The sequence below is a fragment of the Homo sapiens genome, chromosome 6 (assembly GCF_000001405.40).
Source record: "Homo sapiens chromosome 6, GRCh38.p14 Primary Assembly".
Lineage (NCBI taxonomy): Eukaryota > Metazoa > Chordata > Mammalia > Primates > Hominidae > Homo > Homo sapiens.
The window spans coordinates 53,061,825-53,079,717 of NC_000006.12; the positions used below are offsets into that span (position 1 = coordinate 53,061,825).

Below are 17,893 nucleotides of genomic sequence, written 5' to 3' on the forward strand. Positions count from 1 at the left end.
AAAAGGCTGGGTGGCTTCTACTGGGGACGACCGGCCGCTTTCCCTGGGAAAAGTTACCCTGCAGCTCCCCTCGCTGGCCCTGCGCGTCCCTGCACTGCGTCCTGTTCGCCCTGGCTCGCGCGGCCGAGCCGCCAGGCGCAGCTCTGGGCCGAGGGCAGCACAGCGCCCAGGGACCCCTAACCCCCGCTGACCGCAAGGCGATCTCCGACTCCGAACGAACGCCTCGTTGCAGATCGGCTCGATCAACCATCAAGACTTAGAAATGGAGGCTGTCGATGGACGTTCTGAGCACATTAAATTAAAGATAATCGTTGTGAAAACATTTTTCTGATTTGAAAAAACGTAGTTGAGGTGGCACGACATTGTGAAAGTAATCAATGCCACTGAATTGTATTCAAAGTGGTTAAACAGCAAATTTCATGTTACCTTTACAGAAAAATAAAATGAAAACGCAACTGATTGCCTGTTAGCATTCCTTTGAACTCTTAAGAGTTTTTATGTTGTTAGCAAGTAGTTGTAAAGACTGGACTCTTAACCCAGATGGGAAACTGACTCTAGTCAGATATCCTCTACACAACAATCGTCCTCTGTAACTAGTTATAGGGAATCTGACACTAACACGTAATTTTATAACACATTGATTTATGTCATAAGTGATATTGTAGACATTACCTTAAATCATCCTTATAAGGCTAGAGCGGTTTGAATAAAGAAGTTGCTTCCAGGTCCCTGATTTTAAATTTACATAATTGTTCTAAGCCAACAGTTCTTAAACATTAGCGGGAAGCATCAGAACCACCTGGAGGACTTGTTAAAACAAACTCCTGGGCTGCACTCTCAGAGTTTCTGGTGCTAATGTTGCTGGGTCACACTGCTGTAAGCAACACAAATTTAATTAATAAAGCAGTAACCCTTTGACACTTTGTGGACTGTTCTCTGAGTTTACAATTCCCAGCTGATCATATCAGTTTTTTTCTCACTATTTTTATTTTTGAATTCTACAGACTGAAGATTGTTTTTTACTGAAAAAATCTATACCAAGACCTGAATCCTTCTCTCCTCTTGATCTTGTGGAAGAAACATGCAAGATATAAGACAGTCAAGCTTCTTTAGATTTCCTCTCCCAAATGGAAAAAGGTCATCTGGCCACTTGACATATGTATAACATTGATATCTACCTTTGTGTTTACCTATTTAACAGCCAGCCCATATGGCAAATGAAAACTGAAAATCATTATCAGTGAAAAGATAGAGACACGACAAGGAATCTAACAAGTCATATACTACTCCCATGAAAAGCAATTTCTAAAGTAAAATGATCAGTTTTAGTCAAATTGTCCAAGCAGGTCTACCTGGCAAACAAAGGTACTGTCTTGGTCTACCTTTTAGCAAGAGTCTGCTAGGCTAGTAAGTAGCCTAGATCAGTAGTTTTGGCCTCAGGAAATTATAATCCTGTAAATATAATATGAGAATATAACCTTGTAATGAGGTCTAGTGGATACTGTGGAACTGACTGAAAATAGAAAATTAGTAGCTATGAAGCATAACAGTATTTTAATGCTCAATTTATCTTTACAAATATTATTTTATTAAGCTTTAATTACTTGCTAGAATAAAAGAAACCATCTGTGTAATTGACCAGGCTATTTTAAACTAGCACTCAACATTTTAAATGAAACAGATTTGTTCCCAAACTATTTCAATACTTCATTCTCAGTATGTAAGAGTCACATTTATCATTTTATTCTATTATAAATCTTAGATTTAACCTTTCCCCCCAATTTAAATTTCAAAATTCAATTTTAAGGAGTTCATTGGGAGGAAATTTATCCTTAAAAAGACTTAAGCCCTAGAGTCTCCTTTAAAACAAAAAATTTAAATTTTTGGCCTCTTTTAAACAGTAAGGCATTTTTTATAGGTAGCTGACTTAGGGTGCAAATAAAAACACACGCATCCGAAGGGTGGATCCCAATATTAAAACATGGCAGGCCGGGCGCAGTGGCTCACGCCTGTAATCCCAGCACTTTGGGAGGCCGAGGCGGGCGGATCACGAGGTCAGGAGTTCGAGACCAGCCTCACCAACATGGTGAAACCCCGTCTGTACTAAAAATACAAGAATTAGCTGGGCTTGGGGGCGCTCGCTGTAATCCCAGTTACTCAGGAGGCTGAGGCAGGAGAATTCCTTGAACCCGGGAGGCGGAGGTTACAGTTAGCCGAGATGGCGCCACTGCAATCCAGCCTGGGCTACAGCGAGACTCTGTCTCAGCAAAACAAAACACGGCATTTGGACTTCCTTATTGTAGCTCGTTCTCTCTCCCCTTCACTCTCTCGCTCTCTCCCCTCCCTCAGCACTTTCACCTCCATTTCTGTGCCAAAGATGTACTACAATTTTTTTTTTTTTTGAGACGGAGTCTCACTCTGTCGCCCACGCTGTAGTGCAGTGGCGCGAACACTGCAACCTCTGCCTCCCGGTTTCAAGCGATTCTCCTGCCTCAGCCTCCTGAGTAACTGGTATTACAGGAGCGCGCCACCAAGCCCAACTAATTTTTGTATTCTTAGTAGAGACGGGGTTTCACCATGTTGGTGAGGCTGGTCTCGAACTCTTGACCTCGTGAGCCACCCGCCTCGGCCTCCCAAAGTGTTGGGATTACAGGCGTGGGCCACCGCGCCCAGCGGATATACTGCATTTTTAATCTCTCCAGAATAGAATGGATTAGAAATTTAAACTCTGTAAACTCGTTGAATGTTTGGAAGCCTATTAGTCCCTGGCACCACTAGAAACTTTAAAAACTCAGTAAATGTTTGCTAAATTAAAGTTATAGGCTATGAAGCCTATCAGTTTTCACAAAACAGGCAAACCCGTAGTTAAAAAGATTTAAATTGTGTAAAAGCAAAGTATCACCTTATGAACAAGTACATTCACTCAAGAAGAAATCAGGTAGTTTGGGCTTTAAGAGGTGGGGCCGAGGACCAAGTGTAAGTTCCGGTGCTCAAACCTGAGCGGCCGACTACAAATCCCAGAGTGCCTCGCGGGCGCCGTCTCCACGGCACTTGGGTTTCAGGGCCATGGAATCGCAAGCCCTTTTCGCACTGCATTATGGGATCTGTAGTGAGACATGCCTTGCGTTGGCTCTTTCCTCCTGCTGGGCGCCAAAGCGCGTCTTTTCCTCAATCTCCAGTCTGTCTGTGCTCTCAAAAACTTTAGTCGTTATAACAACTGTGACTGTTGAGAAATTTCACTGTTTTCCTGCATTCCTGGCGCGGGACTCTAGCCAGAGGCTCCGAGGACTTTGTAGCGACTGTCCCAAGCGTCCAGTTCGATGCTTCTCAGGGCGGCTTGCTTTAAGGGCCCACCCCTAAATTTGGGTTGTAAAAATTTTTGAGGTAATGCTTGTTCAAGTTCGCTTAAGTGTTCACTCAGCCCAACACGCGGGTTGGGCTTGAGGTTCGGCACCCGGGCAGCCTCACCCCCCGCGTCAGGCGCGCGCACACAGTAGGTCCGCGACCCTTAGCCCTCCACTAGGCAGCCCGCGGGGATGGGTGGCCGGGCCGCCCACACGGGCAGCACCGGCACTGCGCATGCTCGGCGCGTCGGCGCAGGTTTCCGCAGCTGAGGGGGCAGCTCCGCGGCGGCGTCCGGGGTCTCCAGTAGGGCTGACGCTCCGGTGCTCGCACAATCCCCCGCCTCGGCTGGCAACGGGCGTCCCTCCACTCCCCGAGTCCCCGGCAGCCGCCGCCACCCCAGCGCGCCCCGATCTGGCCCCCTGCCCCGCGAAGATGGCTGCCGTACGCCGGGCCCGCAGTTATTGCCGCTGCCTGGTGCGCTTCTCCGACCGAGAACTCTGCTAAGCTCCGCTGCAGAGACAGGCAGGAGTAGACACCCGGACACCCAGCACCCCTCCTCCGGGGGGCGGTGCAGAGGGGGCACGGAGAGCCCCTCGAGCGCAGCAGGCCGCCCCGCCAGCATGGTAACCTGGCCAGGGGGCTCGAGGGTGGACGCCGCGGGGCGGGAGCGTGGTGTGCAGAGGGGCCGGGCCTAGGGCTGGGGGTCGGCGGGGACTCTGGGGAGGAGTGGGAGCTTCACGGCTGCCACCCGTTAGAGGGCCCTGGCCTGAGAAGGAGTGCGTCGGGGGGCGGGGGGTGCCAACCCTGGCTTCTCCCCAGGATTCCTTCCTGCTGAGCCTCCCCAACCCCCGCCGAGCTCGATGTGAGGAGGAGGGTTTGCAGGACAGCCGGGGAAAATGTCCCTTCTCGGCTCACTGAGTATATTGAACCAGTCTCGGTCCTCTCAAGGGATTTTATCAGAAGCATTGAGCATAGATTGAGGTAAGCTGTCACAGCGCCTGAATTCGGGAGGGAGCTCTGGCAAGAGGAGACACTTGTTGATTGCTCTTCTGCGGAAAAGCCAGGCCCACCGACAGTCCCTGCCGGCACCTTGAGGAGCCCTGGGTGTAGGACGCATCTGCCCCGCGAGGCGTCATTCCCTGGGAGGATGTTGGCAGGCGGTCCTGGCGGAGTGGGGTTGGAGGGTTCGTCTCCGCGGCGTCGGTGCCGTCCAAATGAGAGACTGAGCTAAGTTGCAGAGCTTGACAGTGCAGATTCCATGAGACTGTTCCATATTGGAATACGTAGTCTCTGCCCTATGCCTTTCTTTGGTTTAGAATAAATTGTTCATCTGAGAAACTAATCTCTGGCTGGGGCTTAAAGAATCAGGGATGCAATAATTCCAAACGATTTAATTTATAGTGGACTCAAATATTTATTGCATAAATGAATGGCTGAATTTATTTTTATTAAATTAATCTGGAGGATAGAAAAGGCAATTGCCCCTGCCCCTAAACTTTCAGAAGTAGTTCTCTGACCGGGATTAAGTACTTAGCCTTTATAATTTATTAATCGCACCTGTGAAACAGGAGTAACATGATGAAGACATGGACTACTCATACACATGAGCTATTCAAGTGAAGGTGATATTTAGGTCAAACTCGATTATGAAAAATAAAAGGAAAACCTCCAGGTGGCATCTGAGGCCCTACTTATTTCAAGTAGTAGTTGAATTGACCAAATGTCAACTCAGCCGATCCCAGATATAATAGTTTGTTTTTGTGATCATACTGTCAAAATCAAAGTAAGAATGGTTTAGAGCTCCACTGTAACACAGGGGAGAAGAAAGATGCTGTCTATATTACACTTCTCCCATTTCCTTTCCTCATCCTTCAGATACACATTATCCAGATGGCATTTTATTTGTCGATTCAGCCAATATTTTTGAGTACCTATTAGCCTGGCATAGTGTGAGACTCTGGTACAATACTAGATCTTCAATATAACCAAACCTGCAAGGTGATTTATGATAAACTTTTAATCACAGAATGTCACATGAAAAGGGACCTCAGTAGATCACCATACCTCTTTATAGATGTCCCATAGACATGACAGCTGAGGCCTAGACAGGCCTTTACTACAAATCAAGCAATGTGTTTGACCTTATGGTTACAGAGGTAACTGAGATGTGTTCCTGTCCTGGATGCCTTAAATCTAGTAAATGAAACAGCCAACCTCAGTACAAATGTTGTGATAAAAGTAAGCACAAGTGTTATGGGAACACAAAAATGTTGAAAAATGCTTCTGACTAAGATGAACCCTGAGCTGAATCTTGAAGAATGAGTAGAAATAGCTAAGTGAGGAAGAAGGCATTCCAGATAGAGCAAGCAGCGTATGCAAGCCAACTGGACAGAGCAGGGGAAGCTCTTGAAGTCAGTTTAGAATGACTGCTAGGCAAGAGTTAGAAAACTAAATTACAAAGGATACCCCACAGAACTCAGGTCCCCTCGCATTACCTGTACTTAGAGTTTGCAATAATAAAGCAGACTCTTGAGAAGAGAGAGAAATACACTTCTCAGTGGGATTTATACGCTCAGTCTTTCATTACATATTTTCCTACTAATGGTGTTCTTAGTAGGAAAAGCTCCCAACTTAAAGAAACTAAAAAATAATGTATTTGACAATACATTAATCCTTAAATTTTCCATTTTTCTAGAAATTCATCTGAGTTCTTGATCTCATTTATTTCTTCACAGATGTGTGCTTTACAGTGTGCCCAGCATTTTACCATATACTAACTGGTTCAAGTCTGAAAGGCACCTCTGCTTTGAGTCTGCTTGCCAGAGATAAGATAGGAGGCAAGGCTAATTTATGTTCTGTAATATAGTGCAAGTATATCTGGTAGCTGTGTTAAAGATGTGTGTTAATATAAACATTACCCTCCCCCCCCTGGCCGCCCTGAAATAACATATGACTAAAATTTGCAATTGTAAAACTTACCATCTTTGGAACCAGTAAAATTAAATGGGTTTTATTATTATCTAGCTTACCTTGAAGGCCATTTCCCTGATTGCCACATTTCTTTACAGTAAGTGTTGAGCAAGTTTCATTTCCTAATAAATCTATTAGCTAACAGACTGAACTGAGGCAACATGCCATTTTCACTGGAAGGTAGGATTTAGTTTAATTTAGCAAACATTTATTGAGAATAAAAGGATAAAATTAAAGTCATCTGATTGAAACCTTTATTAGGCTCCAAGTCACACACAGTAATTCCAGTCTAGCTTTATTCCACTGAAGCCGATCCAATATATAAAAATTGGATTTATAGACAGATAAAATAGAAGGGGTTTCTTTACAAAAGCATTTACTATTAAAAGTCTTTGACTAAGCTTTCCTAGTACATATAAAATACACAGAAGTCATATTTTCATAGAACACATTTAATAACATGCTAGCTGTATAAAAGAAGTGACATCATCTTACGGAATATATATATATATGTGTTTTTTTTTTTTTTTTGAGACAGGGTCTCTCTCTGTCTCCTGGGTTGGAGAGCAGTGGTGCAGTCTCGGCTCACTGCAACCTGCATCTCCCAGGCTCAAGCAATCCTCTCACCTCAGCCTCCCGAGTAGCTGGGGCTACTGTGTACCACCACCCCCTGGTAATTTTTGTATTTTTTGTAGAGACGGGGTCTTGCCATGTTGCCCAGCCTTGTCTCAAACTCCTGGGCTCAAGCAGTCCTTCCACCTCAGCCTTCCAAAGTGTTGGGATTACAGGCATGAGCCACCACACCCTGCCTGGACTGTATTCTCTTAAGTGATCCATGAAGCAAAAACTATCTGCTACAGCCAGGTATGGCTGCACAAGCCTGTAGTCTCAGCTACTCAAGAGGTGGAGCAGAAGGATCTTTGGAGCTCAGGAGTTTGAGGCCATCCTGGGCTGCATAAGGAGACTCTGTCCCAAGAAAGCAATAACTATTTGCTGAACTCCATAGGACAACTAAATGTTACTATTTTCTGAAACAAAGTTGTTATTTTTAGCCACCTAACAATACATTTTAACCTAGAACCCAGTGGATTTGTTTATTCTACAGTATCAAAAAAAATTCAAGTATCAAGTTATATCTGATTGGTATCATTAAACTTACCTGTGAAGAAGATAACTATAAAGAAGCAATGTTGTATTTCATTAACATGAAACATTAGAGTATTTTCTGTTTTGGGACTTGTAGAAGTTTATGGACACTAAAATTATTTGGGCTTTTTGCCTTAGACTCAATTATGTTTGGAACATCTGTCACAGCACCTTGTCAACTGCATTCTAGAACATTTCTCCTCCTGATGGAAAATACAACATGACCTATGAGGCAGTCTTGCAAAAGAAAAAAGAAATAGCAGAATCTAATCTAGCCTTTCAAGATCCTGCCACAATTTATAGGAAATAAGAGTAAGAGGTCAAAGGAACATATTTATTGACACCTCAGCAAAATCTAGCTTCTACAGAAAAACGACCCAGTTTCATCCCAAATAAATTACAAGAAAAAAGAGTGAGGATTACAAAAGACTTGAGACATATCAAGCAATTACAATGTGGACTTTATTTGAATCTTGATTTCACAAACTGTGAAATATATGTATTTTACATATGACATCTTGAGAAATATGAATACTGTGACTTGATATTTGATCTAAGGAATTACATTGATAATTATTGAAGTTGGGTCATGAGTACTTAGGGATTAATTCTCTTTAAGTGTTTTTCTCATAAAAAGTTTTAAAGTCTTGTAGAACTAAAAAAATACCAAAGATGTTCTAATTTTATTTCATTTTTTTCTAAGAAGAATAATATTTTTCTTTTCTTTTTTCCTTTTTTTTTTTTTTTTTTTTTTTATGATGGGGTCTCTGTCATCCAGGCTGGAGTGCAATGGTGCAGTCTCGGCTCACTGCAACCTCCATCTCTCAGGCTCAAGCAACCCTCCCACCTCAGCCTCCCAATTAGCTGGGACCACAGGCGTGTACCACCACGCCTGGCTGATTTTTTGTATTTTTAGTAGAGATGGGGTTTCACTATGTTGGCTAGGCTGGTCTTGAACTCCTGACCTCAAGTGATGCTCCTGCCTCAGCCTCACAAAGTGTGGGGATTACAGGTGTGAGCCACCGCACCTGGCCAGAAAAAGAGAAAATAATTTTTATTATAGATTATCAGTAGTTATGTATATTAATGAAGAATTTGGCTTCATTTACCTAATTAGATTAATCATAAATCATTTATGAATAGTAATAGACTTGAATTGTTACTTTATATTACACAGTTGGCCCTCTGTACCTGCAGGTTCTGCATCCTGGGATTCAACTGTGGATCAAAAATATTTGGGGGAAAAAAAGCAATACAACAATAAAAAATAATACAAATTAGGAAAAATATACTACAAGAACTATTTACATGGCATTTACATTATAAGTAACCTAGAGATGACTTAAAGTATATGAGAAGATGTGCATAGGTTATATGCAAATATGCCATATGAGGGACTGGAAAACCCAGGGATTTTGGTGTCCTGGGGGCTCCTGGAACTAATCACCTGTGGATACTGAGGGACAACTGTAATTAAATTGATTTTTGGATGGATGCAACTGATGTTAAATTTGGCGGGGGGGAAATGTTAGGATTCACAATAACGTGAGTACTGTGGGTTGGAGTAGAGAATATGCTTTTCAGACTCATTTTCCTTTGGAAATTAATAGTAAGGTCTCAAGTGCCCCCTACAGCCTTGCTACTCAAAGTGGGTTCCACAAAGTGTTGACAGTATGGTACTAAATAGAAAGTGGCTGAATGAGAAATGTAGATTGCAGAGGGCAACTGGTGTGTTTATATGCCTGACATTATTTGGGTTTTCCCCCCTCAGGCAGAAGCTGAGGAAGATTGTCATTCTGATACTGTCAGAGCAGATGATGATGAAGAAAATGAAAGTCCTGCTGAAACAGATCTGCAGGCATGTTTCTTCAATTGTGTCTTTGATTTTTATTCCATTGTTCCCATACATATGCAGAAATTGATCATAATCATGGGTATTTGTAGGTTATTACTGTTTGCATGGAATTTAACTGTTTCCATACTGGTTTATAGAATACTTAAAACTATGTTATGGCTTTCTTTGTGAAAAGAAATATCAATAATGGTTGCTTGTAGTTTAACATGGGTTTAAAGTATTCAAACTAAGGCTTACGCATGACTCAAAACCCATAATCTTAAAAAGATTGATGGGTTTGACCACCTAAAAGTTTAAAACCTGTGTATAAGAAAAGGCATCATAAATAAAGTTAAGAGAAATAGCCAGCTGGAAAAACTGTTTATTATATATGGGCAGAGGATTCATCTCATTACATAGAGCACTCATATATTTGGAAGAACAGAGGATAAAAAGATATGAGTGGACTGTTAATGGCAAAATAATACAAATGGCCATTAAATATTTGAAGAGATAATTAGCCTCATTAATAATTTAATCAGATTGGTGAATAATGTGCATCGCTGTCCAAGCTGTGAGAACACTCATGCAGTGTACATGAAAATGTAAATTGGTACAGCTTTCTGGAGGGCAGACTGGTGATATGGATCAAAATGAAAAACATGCATTCCCTTGATACAGCAATTCTACTTCCAGGAAATTAATTTTAAGGAAATAGTGGGGAAAGTAAATATGCAACTATAAAGATGTTTAGTATAGCATTGTTTATCTGGAAAAACATCATACAACTTAAATATTCATTACCTGTTATTAAGTAATGATGCATCCATACAGTGAAAACACTACAGCCATTTAAAAGGATGAAGTAAATCTTTATACATTAAAAGAGAAAAAAAGTTGCTGTAACTAGTTAAGTGTGTCTCACTGCACTTGTAAGGTTAATAATAATTATTTGGAACAGCTCATCTAGTAGACATTGAATGCTGCTAAAGATTCTGCAGGTCAGAGATCTATGTGTAACAGGTTAAAAGCGTAGCAACAAAGCAGTGTACAGAATATAGAGAAAAATTAATTTAAAACATTCTAGATACGTCTTTTTTTAAAAAAAAAAAAGGAAGCCAGGAATAACATATGCATCCCTGTTAGCAATGGCTGCCTTTGGGCAGAACGTGTAACCCAGTTTGGGTTCCCCAGGAAGCAGACTAGGTGAAGATTGCTGTGCAGGAAGTTTATTAAGGAGTATTCTTGGGATCAACACCTATGGAAGGGAGAGAGGGAAACAAATGGGCAGGGAGAAGACCAGCTGCAATGCAGTCTTAATGGACTGCTTAGCCATCCTCGAGGGAGTTCTGAAGATGAAATACCCTTTCAGAGATGACCTGAGTTGCAAAGAGCCAAGACTTTATTAGCCGTTGATCAGTCATTGGGTGGGGATTGAGAGGACAGTGTGATTTTGCTGAGGCAATACCCAAAAGGGCTGACAACTCAAGTGTTTTCAGATAGAACTCTCAGCAGTTTGGGTAACAAGTTCTTTATTTCTGAAAGGGAATCTGGGCAACACACCAGAGTCTACCTTATAGGGTTCACTTTTTATGTGCTTTTAATTTTTTTTTTTTTTGAGATGGAGTCTCGCTCCATTGCCCAGGCTGGAGTGCAGTAGCACGATCTCTGCTGACTGCCAACCTCTGCCACCCGAGTTCAAGCAATTCTCATGGCTCAGCCTCCCAAGTAGCTGGGATTACAGGTGCCCGCCACCACACCTGGCTAATTTGTTTGTATTTTTAGTAGAGACAGGGTTTCACCATGTTGGCCGGGCTGTTCTCGAACTCCTGACCTCAGGTGATCCGTCTGCCTCGGCCTCCCAAAGTGCTGGGATTATAGGCATGAGCCTCTGTGCCTGGCCTTTACATTTTTGAAATAACAAATATTTGAAAAAACATTTTCTTTTTGAAATACAGAATGTTAATAGATTTTGGGCTTACCTACAGAATTTTTGGCAGCATTCTTAATGTCTACTAGATGATATAGTCATTAAAAAATTATTGGAAGCTTATAACTTCAGTCTGTAAGTGATGGCTTATATTTTCAATTCTAATTAAAATTTGGTTTTCCAATATAATTTGACTTTTGGTGTACTGACATGTATTTTATGCTAATTTTCTTGATTCTTTAAGTTTTGAGCAGAAAATTATTTTAAAAGATGTATTTAATGGATATTTAATAATTCAGAAGACAGTGATTTCTGGACTTAGAGTAATAAGTATATACGTGGAAGTAGATAGATGTTGGACATATTGATACATTGTTCCAGAGTTGAGCTACCCTTCCTTGATGAGTCCTAAAATGCTGTTCTCCCCATAGGCACAACTCCAGATGTTCCGAGCTCAGTGGATGTTTGAACTTGCTCCAGGTGTAAGCTCTAGCAATTTAGAAAATCGACCTTGCAGAGCAGCAAGAGGCTCTCTCCAGAAAACATCGGCAGATACCAAAGGAAAACAAGAACAGGCAAAAGAAGAAAAGTTAAGTATTATAGATATTGTAACAAATTACATTTTTTTTTTTTTGGCACATGGAAATTTTCACTGACACAGTAAGTAGGCATTATAACCAGACTTTCGGGACATAAACACATATCTTGTAAAATAAAAATTTTGACTAGTATACTAGTTTATATATTTCTCACAATTTCTTCTAGGTACTTTGGATGGTACCACTACTCCTGCATGGCTTTTTTCTCTGTGGGTACACTGTCTTCATTGAGCTGTCTTTTGTTAATTTATAGACCTCTGGGATTCATGTGGTTCCTAAAAGATTGGTGTCTCTGAATTTATTAACAGAACCAAAAAGAAAAAACAGAATTTTCTAAATTTATTAATAGAACCAAAAAGATTGCTCACATGTTAATGTCTTTCCAGAGGTCTTAATTTCATGCAGTATTTTGTTATATTTTGAATTGATCAGCTTACAATAATGCATTAATCATTTCCTTATTCTGGAAAATTTTGAAATATTTTCACACTGAAAATATTTTGAATGCTGTCTAACATTCATATCTCTTCTGGTACTTACTCACACAGAGTAGGCACAGCATACCATTTCATTTCTTATTCTTCTTCCATAGAGGCTGCCATCTTTTTACCATCAGATCCAAGTTTGTGTTTATAATTAGTCATCAAATAATTGGCATTACCATGATGACTTACCTTCTATCTCCTCTTAATTTTTATTTTGAAATAATTACAGGTCCACAGGTATAGGGAAGTCCTGTGTGCCCTTTAACCTCCTCCGATGGTAACAACTTGCATAACTATAGTACAATATCAAAAACGAGGAAATAGACATTGGAACAATCCACAGTTTACTTGGATTTCCTGAGTTTACAAGCACTTGTCTGTGTGTATGTGTATAAATAGTTGTTTGCAGTTTTATTACAAGGTAGCTTCATGTAACCACCACCACAATCAAGATACAGAACTGTTTTATAGTTATATACTCCCTTTCCCTAGCCATTCGTAACCACTGGCAACCACTAGTCTGTTCTCCATTTTGTAATTTTGATATTCCAAGAATGTTGTATAAGTGGAATCATCCAGTATGTAACCTTTTGAGATTGGCTTTTTTCACTAAGTATAATTCCCTCAAGATCAGTCCAAGTTACTATGTATCAGTAGTTTGTTCCTTTTTATTGCAGAATAGTATTGCATGGTATGGATGTACCCCAGTTTAACCATTTATTGGTTGAAGGACATTTGAGTTGTTTCCAATATTTGGCTGTTATGAATGGAGCTATGGAAATATGTGTGTAGGTTTTCTCATGAACATAATTTTCACTTCTCTGGGATGAAACCCCAAGAGTACAATTGCTAAGTTCTATAGTAAGTACATGTTTGATTTTAAAAGAAACTGCCAAAGTGTTTTCTAGAGTATCTTATATTAAGTTCCCACCAGCAATGTATGAGTGATCCAGTTCATCCTCATCAGCATTTAGTGTTGCTACTTTTTAATTTAATTTAATTAATTTATTTATTTATTTTAAGACAGAGTCTCACTTTGTCGCCCAGGCTGGAGTGCAGTGGTGTGATTCCAGCTCACTGCAACCTCTGCCTCCCGGGTTCAAGCGATTCTCGTGCCTTGGCCTCCCAAATAGCTGGGATTACAGGCCCCGTCAGTAACGCTGGGCTAATTTTTGTATTTTTACAAATTTGTATTTTGTATCTAGAATGCAAAAAGAACTTCCAAAACACAATATTAAAAATATTAGCAATCTAGCTGGGTGCGGTGGCTCACTTCTGTAATCCCAGCACTTTGGGAGCCTGGGGTTTCACCATGTTGGTCAGGCTTGTCTCGAACTCCTGACCTCAAGCAGTCTACCTGCTTCAGCCTCCCAAAGTGCTGGGATTACAGGAGTGAGCCACTGCACCTGGCCTTTAATTTTATTAATAGCCATTCTGATAGGTATGTAGTGGTATCTCATTGTCATTTTAATTTGCATTTCTCTAATGGCTTGTGATGTTGAACATCTTTTCATGTGCTTATTTTTCATCTATTAATATATATTCTCTCTCTGAAATATCTGTTGATGTCTTTTCTAATTGGATTACATATATATATATAATTATTTTTTTTTTTTTTTTTTTTTTTGAGATGGAGTGTCACTGTGTCACCCCAGGCTGGAGTGCTGTGGCACGATCTCAGCTCACAGCAAGCTCTGCCTCCCAGGTTCAACTGATTCTCCTGCCTCAGCCTCCAGAGTAGCTGAGACTGTAGACGTGTGCCACCACAACCGGCTAATTTTTGTATTTTTAGTACAGATGGGGTTTCATCTTGTTGGCCAGGCCAGTGTCGAACTCCTGGCCTCAGGTGATCTGCCGACCTCAGCCTCCCAAAGTGCTGGGATTACAGGCGTGAGCCACCGCGCCCAGCCAGATGCTAATATTTTTGATGTTGTGTTTTGGAAGTTCTTTATTCTAGATGCAAGTCTTTTATTGAATATGTGGCTTGTAAATATTTTCATCCTCTTAACAGGGCATTTCACAGAGCAAAAATTTTTAATTTTGACAAGGTCCAGTTTATCAGTTTTTCCTTTTGTGAATGGTGCTTTTGGTGTCAAGAACTCTTTGCCTAGTCCTAGGTCTCCAAGATTTTCTTTGTTTTCTTTTCTTCTAAAAGGTTTATGGATTTTACATTTAAGTCCATGATCCAGTCAAGTTAATTTTTATGTAAAGTATGAGGTTTAGGTCAAGGTTCATTAATTTGCCTATGAATATCCAGTTATTTTGCACAATTTATTAAAAAGGCTCTCCTTCTGCCATCCATACTAATTTTTAATGCAGGTTTTCAAAAATTTTTACTTTATATTTTTATAGGCTCGAGAACTCTTCCTAAAAGCAGTAGAAGAAGAACAAAATGGAGCTCTCTATGAAGGTAAAAATTCAGAGCCCAGGTTCATATCATAACATTTCTGAATAATGACTCTGTTATTAACCATATTTTTTTTTCTATAACTTATTTGGTATAGAACATCACTTTTCTTAATACATTCTTCCTTCAGTACTCATTGGAAATTGGTTCCAGGACCCTTTGTAGATACCAAAATGCTCAAGTCCTTTATATGAATGGTGTAATATTTACATATAACTTACTTATTATGTAAATAGTTATTATACTGTATTTTTTTTTTAAATTTGTATTTATTTTAAATATTTTTGATCTGTAGTTGGTTGAATCAGAGAATGTGAAACCCATGAATACAGAGGGCCAGCTATATTTGAAATTGTTTTTTAAAAAATAAAAAATAGAAATTGTTTTTCTATATAACCTGTCTTTTTGCAAAAAAATATTGCTGGGAAACATCATCATGTTGGTAGGATGAGCAAAATAACTTTTTTTTACATTTAGCTTTAGTTATTCTTCATTAATAAAGTATTTAAAAATTATTCATTTTAAAATATGCTCTTTTTATAGGTGAAAATTGCTTCAGAGGATGGGAATATAAAGGATAAATTGAGGAAAAAATACATGTTTTTCTTTCTAAGTTCCAATTTACATATTACCAACAGAAATATGTGGTAATGGCCGGGCGCGGTGGCTCACGCCTGTAATCCCAGCACTTTGGGAGGCCGAGGCGGGCGGATCACGAGGTCAGGAGATCGAGACCATCCCGGCTAAAACGGTGAAACCCCGTCTCTACTAAAAATACAAAAAATTAGCCGGCGTAGTGGCGGGCGCCTGTAGTCCCAGCTACTTGGGAGGCTGAGGCAGGAGAATGGCGTGAACCCGGGAGGCGGAGCTTGCAGTGAGCCGAGATCCCGCCACTGCACTCCAGCCTGGGCGACAGAGCGAGACTCCGTCTCAAAAAAAAAAAAAAAAAAAAAAAAAAAAGAAATATGTGGTAATATATGTGTCAGCTTTGTGTCTTTTATTAACCCAATAGAAATGTGTAAATAAAGTGATAGGACTATTTGCCATATTAGGTTTGTAATTATGCTTTCCTTTTGTGATAGTAAAGATAATAATTGATGCATAGGAAAAATCCTTGTGCTTGAATCGTTTGAAAATGCCCCAAAACTAACATCATTCAGAGTTACTGCATTTATATGCAAGTTTCTTCTAGTGATATTTTTCTTTAGATTTTTAGAAAGGCCCAGTTGATCAAGTCCCTGTGCAGCCTTCATTGGTTTGTGAAATTCGCATCTCCACTTAGTGTATGGTGTAATTCATCCAGAATAATAGAACATGGCAGAATATATTGAATCATAAACTCCTTTGTAGGGAAAAAGAACTAGTCAGCCTCTACAGCTCCAAGTTCTACTGGTGTATCTCTGTGGGGAGAGTTATTGAATATTACAGCTCTAAACTACCTGTCTAGGAAATTTGTAAAAAATAAGTTTTGAAGATTACTTAGGTAAATAAGAGGCAGCTGGGCTAAAAGAAGTTAAATTTAAAGGATAATTTAAAAACAAAAACAAAAACTATTCTTTATTCCACCCAGTAGGAAGCATTTAATTTTCCTCAACTCTGTGTCTTAGAAAAGTTTGCTTAGAAGTGTTTTTGGCCAGGCATGGTAGCTGACACCTCTAATCTCAGCACTTTGGCAGGCTGAGGCGGGAGGATCGCTTGAACCCAGGAGTTCAAGACCAGCCTGGGCAATATAGCAAGATGTTGTCTCTACAAAAAATTTAAAAATTAGCTGAGTGTGCTGGCTGGGGCATGCCTGTAGCCCCAGCTACTCAGGAGACTGAGGTGGGAGAATCACTTGGACCTGGGAGGTGGAGTCTGCAGTGAGCCAAGATCGTGCCAACTGCACTCCAACCTGGACAACAGAGTGAGACCTTGTCTTAAAAAAGAGAGAAGTATTTTTGTTGGCTATAGCAATTGCATCTTCAGAGCCCAAAGAAAGACAACTATTTAAAAATCATGATACGTAAGAGGGTGAGGAAAAATATGGGAAGGGCTAATATATAAGAGTAAAATACAACATCTTAAGTTTAGGGAAAAGTTTCTTTCTGAGCATTAAGGTTTGGAAATAGTTTTGTGTCACTGAACTGCTGTTGCATGTAGAAAAACAGAATTTGGCCGTTTGTAAAGAAAGTTACCAAATTAAACCACAGTTAAGGGTAATCAAAGGAAATGACAAAAATGTGTGGTCACAGCTAATTTAGCTTTATTTCTTCTTTTAGCCATCAAGTTTTATCGTAGGGCTATGCAACTTGTACCTGATATAGAGTTCAAGATTACTTATACCCGGTCTCCAGATGGTGATGGCGTTGGAAACAGCTAGTGCGTATATAATTTGATAGATAGTAATGCATAGAGTTTGTTAAAGTTAAGCATCTTTGCCCTGTTGACTCTTAAGATGGTGCTAATTCTGTTGAGCTCTATACTCTTTAGTATATCTTTGTTTATAAAGTTGTAGAAATTTTTTAATTAGGGAAATTGCAAGATAACACATAGAAATGCACCTTTTAAACAGATACAAAAATAAACAGATACAAAAATAAACAGATACAAAAAAACGGTTTAAAAAAATAAAAGCAGTAGTTACTGAAAGGAGTAAATTAAAGGACACATTTCAACTTTCTGAAACCTATTTGAAGTAGAAAGTTTTAAAATGTAATTAGGCTAAATTTGGCAAAATATTAATAATGGTTAAAATTGAGTGATGGGTACATGGGAGTTTATTACACTAGTTTCCTTACGTATATGTTTGAAATTTTACATTTTAAAAAAGGCTTCTAATTAGGAAAATGCTGAACTATAAAAGATGTTATTATTCTCTTAATGTTTTTAGTAAAACATTAAAACTCTAACATTTATTTAAAAGCACAGGTGCAGAATATATTCCTAAAAGAAATCATGTTTGAATTGTATAGTTGCCACTGCATCAAAGCCATGAAGTAGCATTGGTTTTATATGGATAAAGATCAAGAAAACTTATTTTTAAGGCAATACTTTTGCAAGACAATTATAAAATTGTTTTGGCTTAATTGCACTATCTCCCAAAACTCAATTTGCTGATATTAGAAGAGAAGGGAGTCTGTACCCATGAGAGAATGTCAGGTTAAAAATAGACAGTACAGAGAAAAAAGTTTTGGTAAT

General features: G+C 39.8%; 2 protein-coding genes across 4 annotated transcripts in view, besides 1 other annotated feature; both read left to right on the forward strand.

Moving 5' to 3' along the window:
- Nucleotides 3,174-17,893, forward strand: part of FBXO9 (F-box protein 9) — a 35,876-nt gene continuing 21,156 nt past the window's right edge. Inside the window, exons 1-5 of one of the 3 annotated variants that reach the window (NM_033481.3) lie at nt 3,174-3,384; nt 9,233-9,319; nt 11,657-11,815; nt 14,662-14,719; nt 16,975-17,074. In NM_033481.3, the coding sequence (NP_258442.2) occupies nt 11,669-11,815; nt 14,662-14,719; nt 16,975-17,074 (305 nt within the window). In that variant the 5' untranslated portion in view covers nt 3,174-3,384; nt 9,233-9,319; nt 11,657-11,668. Of the gene's footprint in view, nt 3,385-3,579; nt 3,969-9,148; nt 9,320-11,656; nt 11,816-14,661; nt 14,720-16,974; nt 17,075-17,893 lie in introns of those variants that run through there. The other 2 variants (NM_033480.3, NM_012347.4) reach the window with 2 other exon arrangements.
- Nucleotides 3,503-4,072: a silencer, noted in NCBI's record as "silent region_17288". NCBI's record gives its function as "represses an Ori minimal core promoter by ATAC-STARR-seq in GM12878 lymphoblastoid cells {active_cell/tissue: GM12878}" and the evidence as "EXISTENCE:reporter gene assay evidence [ECO:0000049][PMID:35858748]".
- LOC128031835 (uncharacterized) lies at nt 3,778-3,849 on the forward strand. The gene has a single exon (NM_001414736.1). It carries the CDS (start codon nt 3,778-3,780, stop codon nt 3,847-3,849), a length of 72 nt encoding a protein of 23 aa, NP_001401665.1.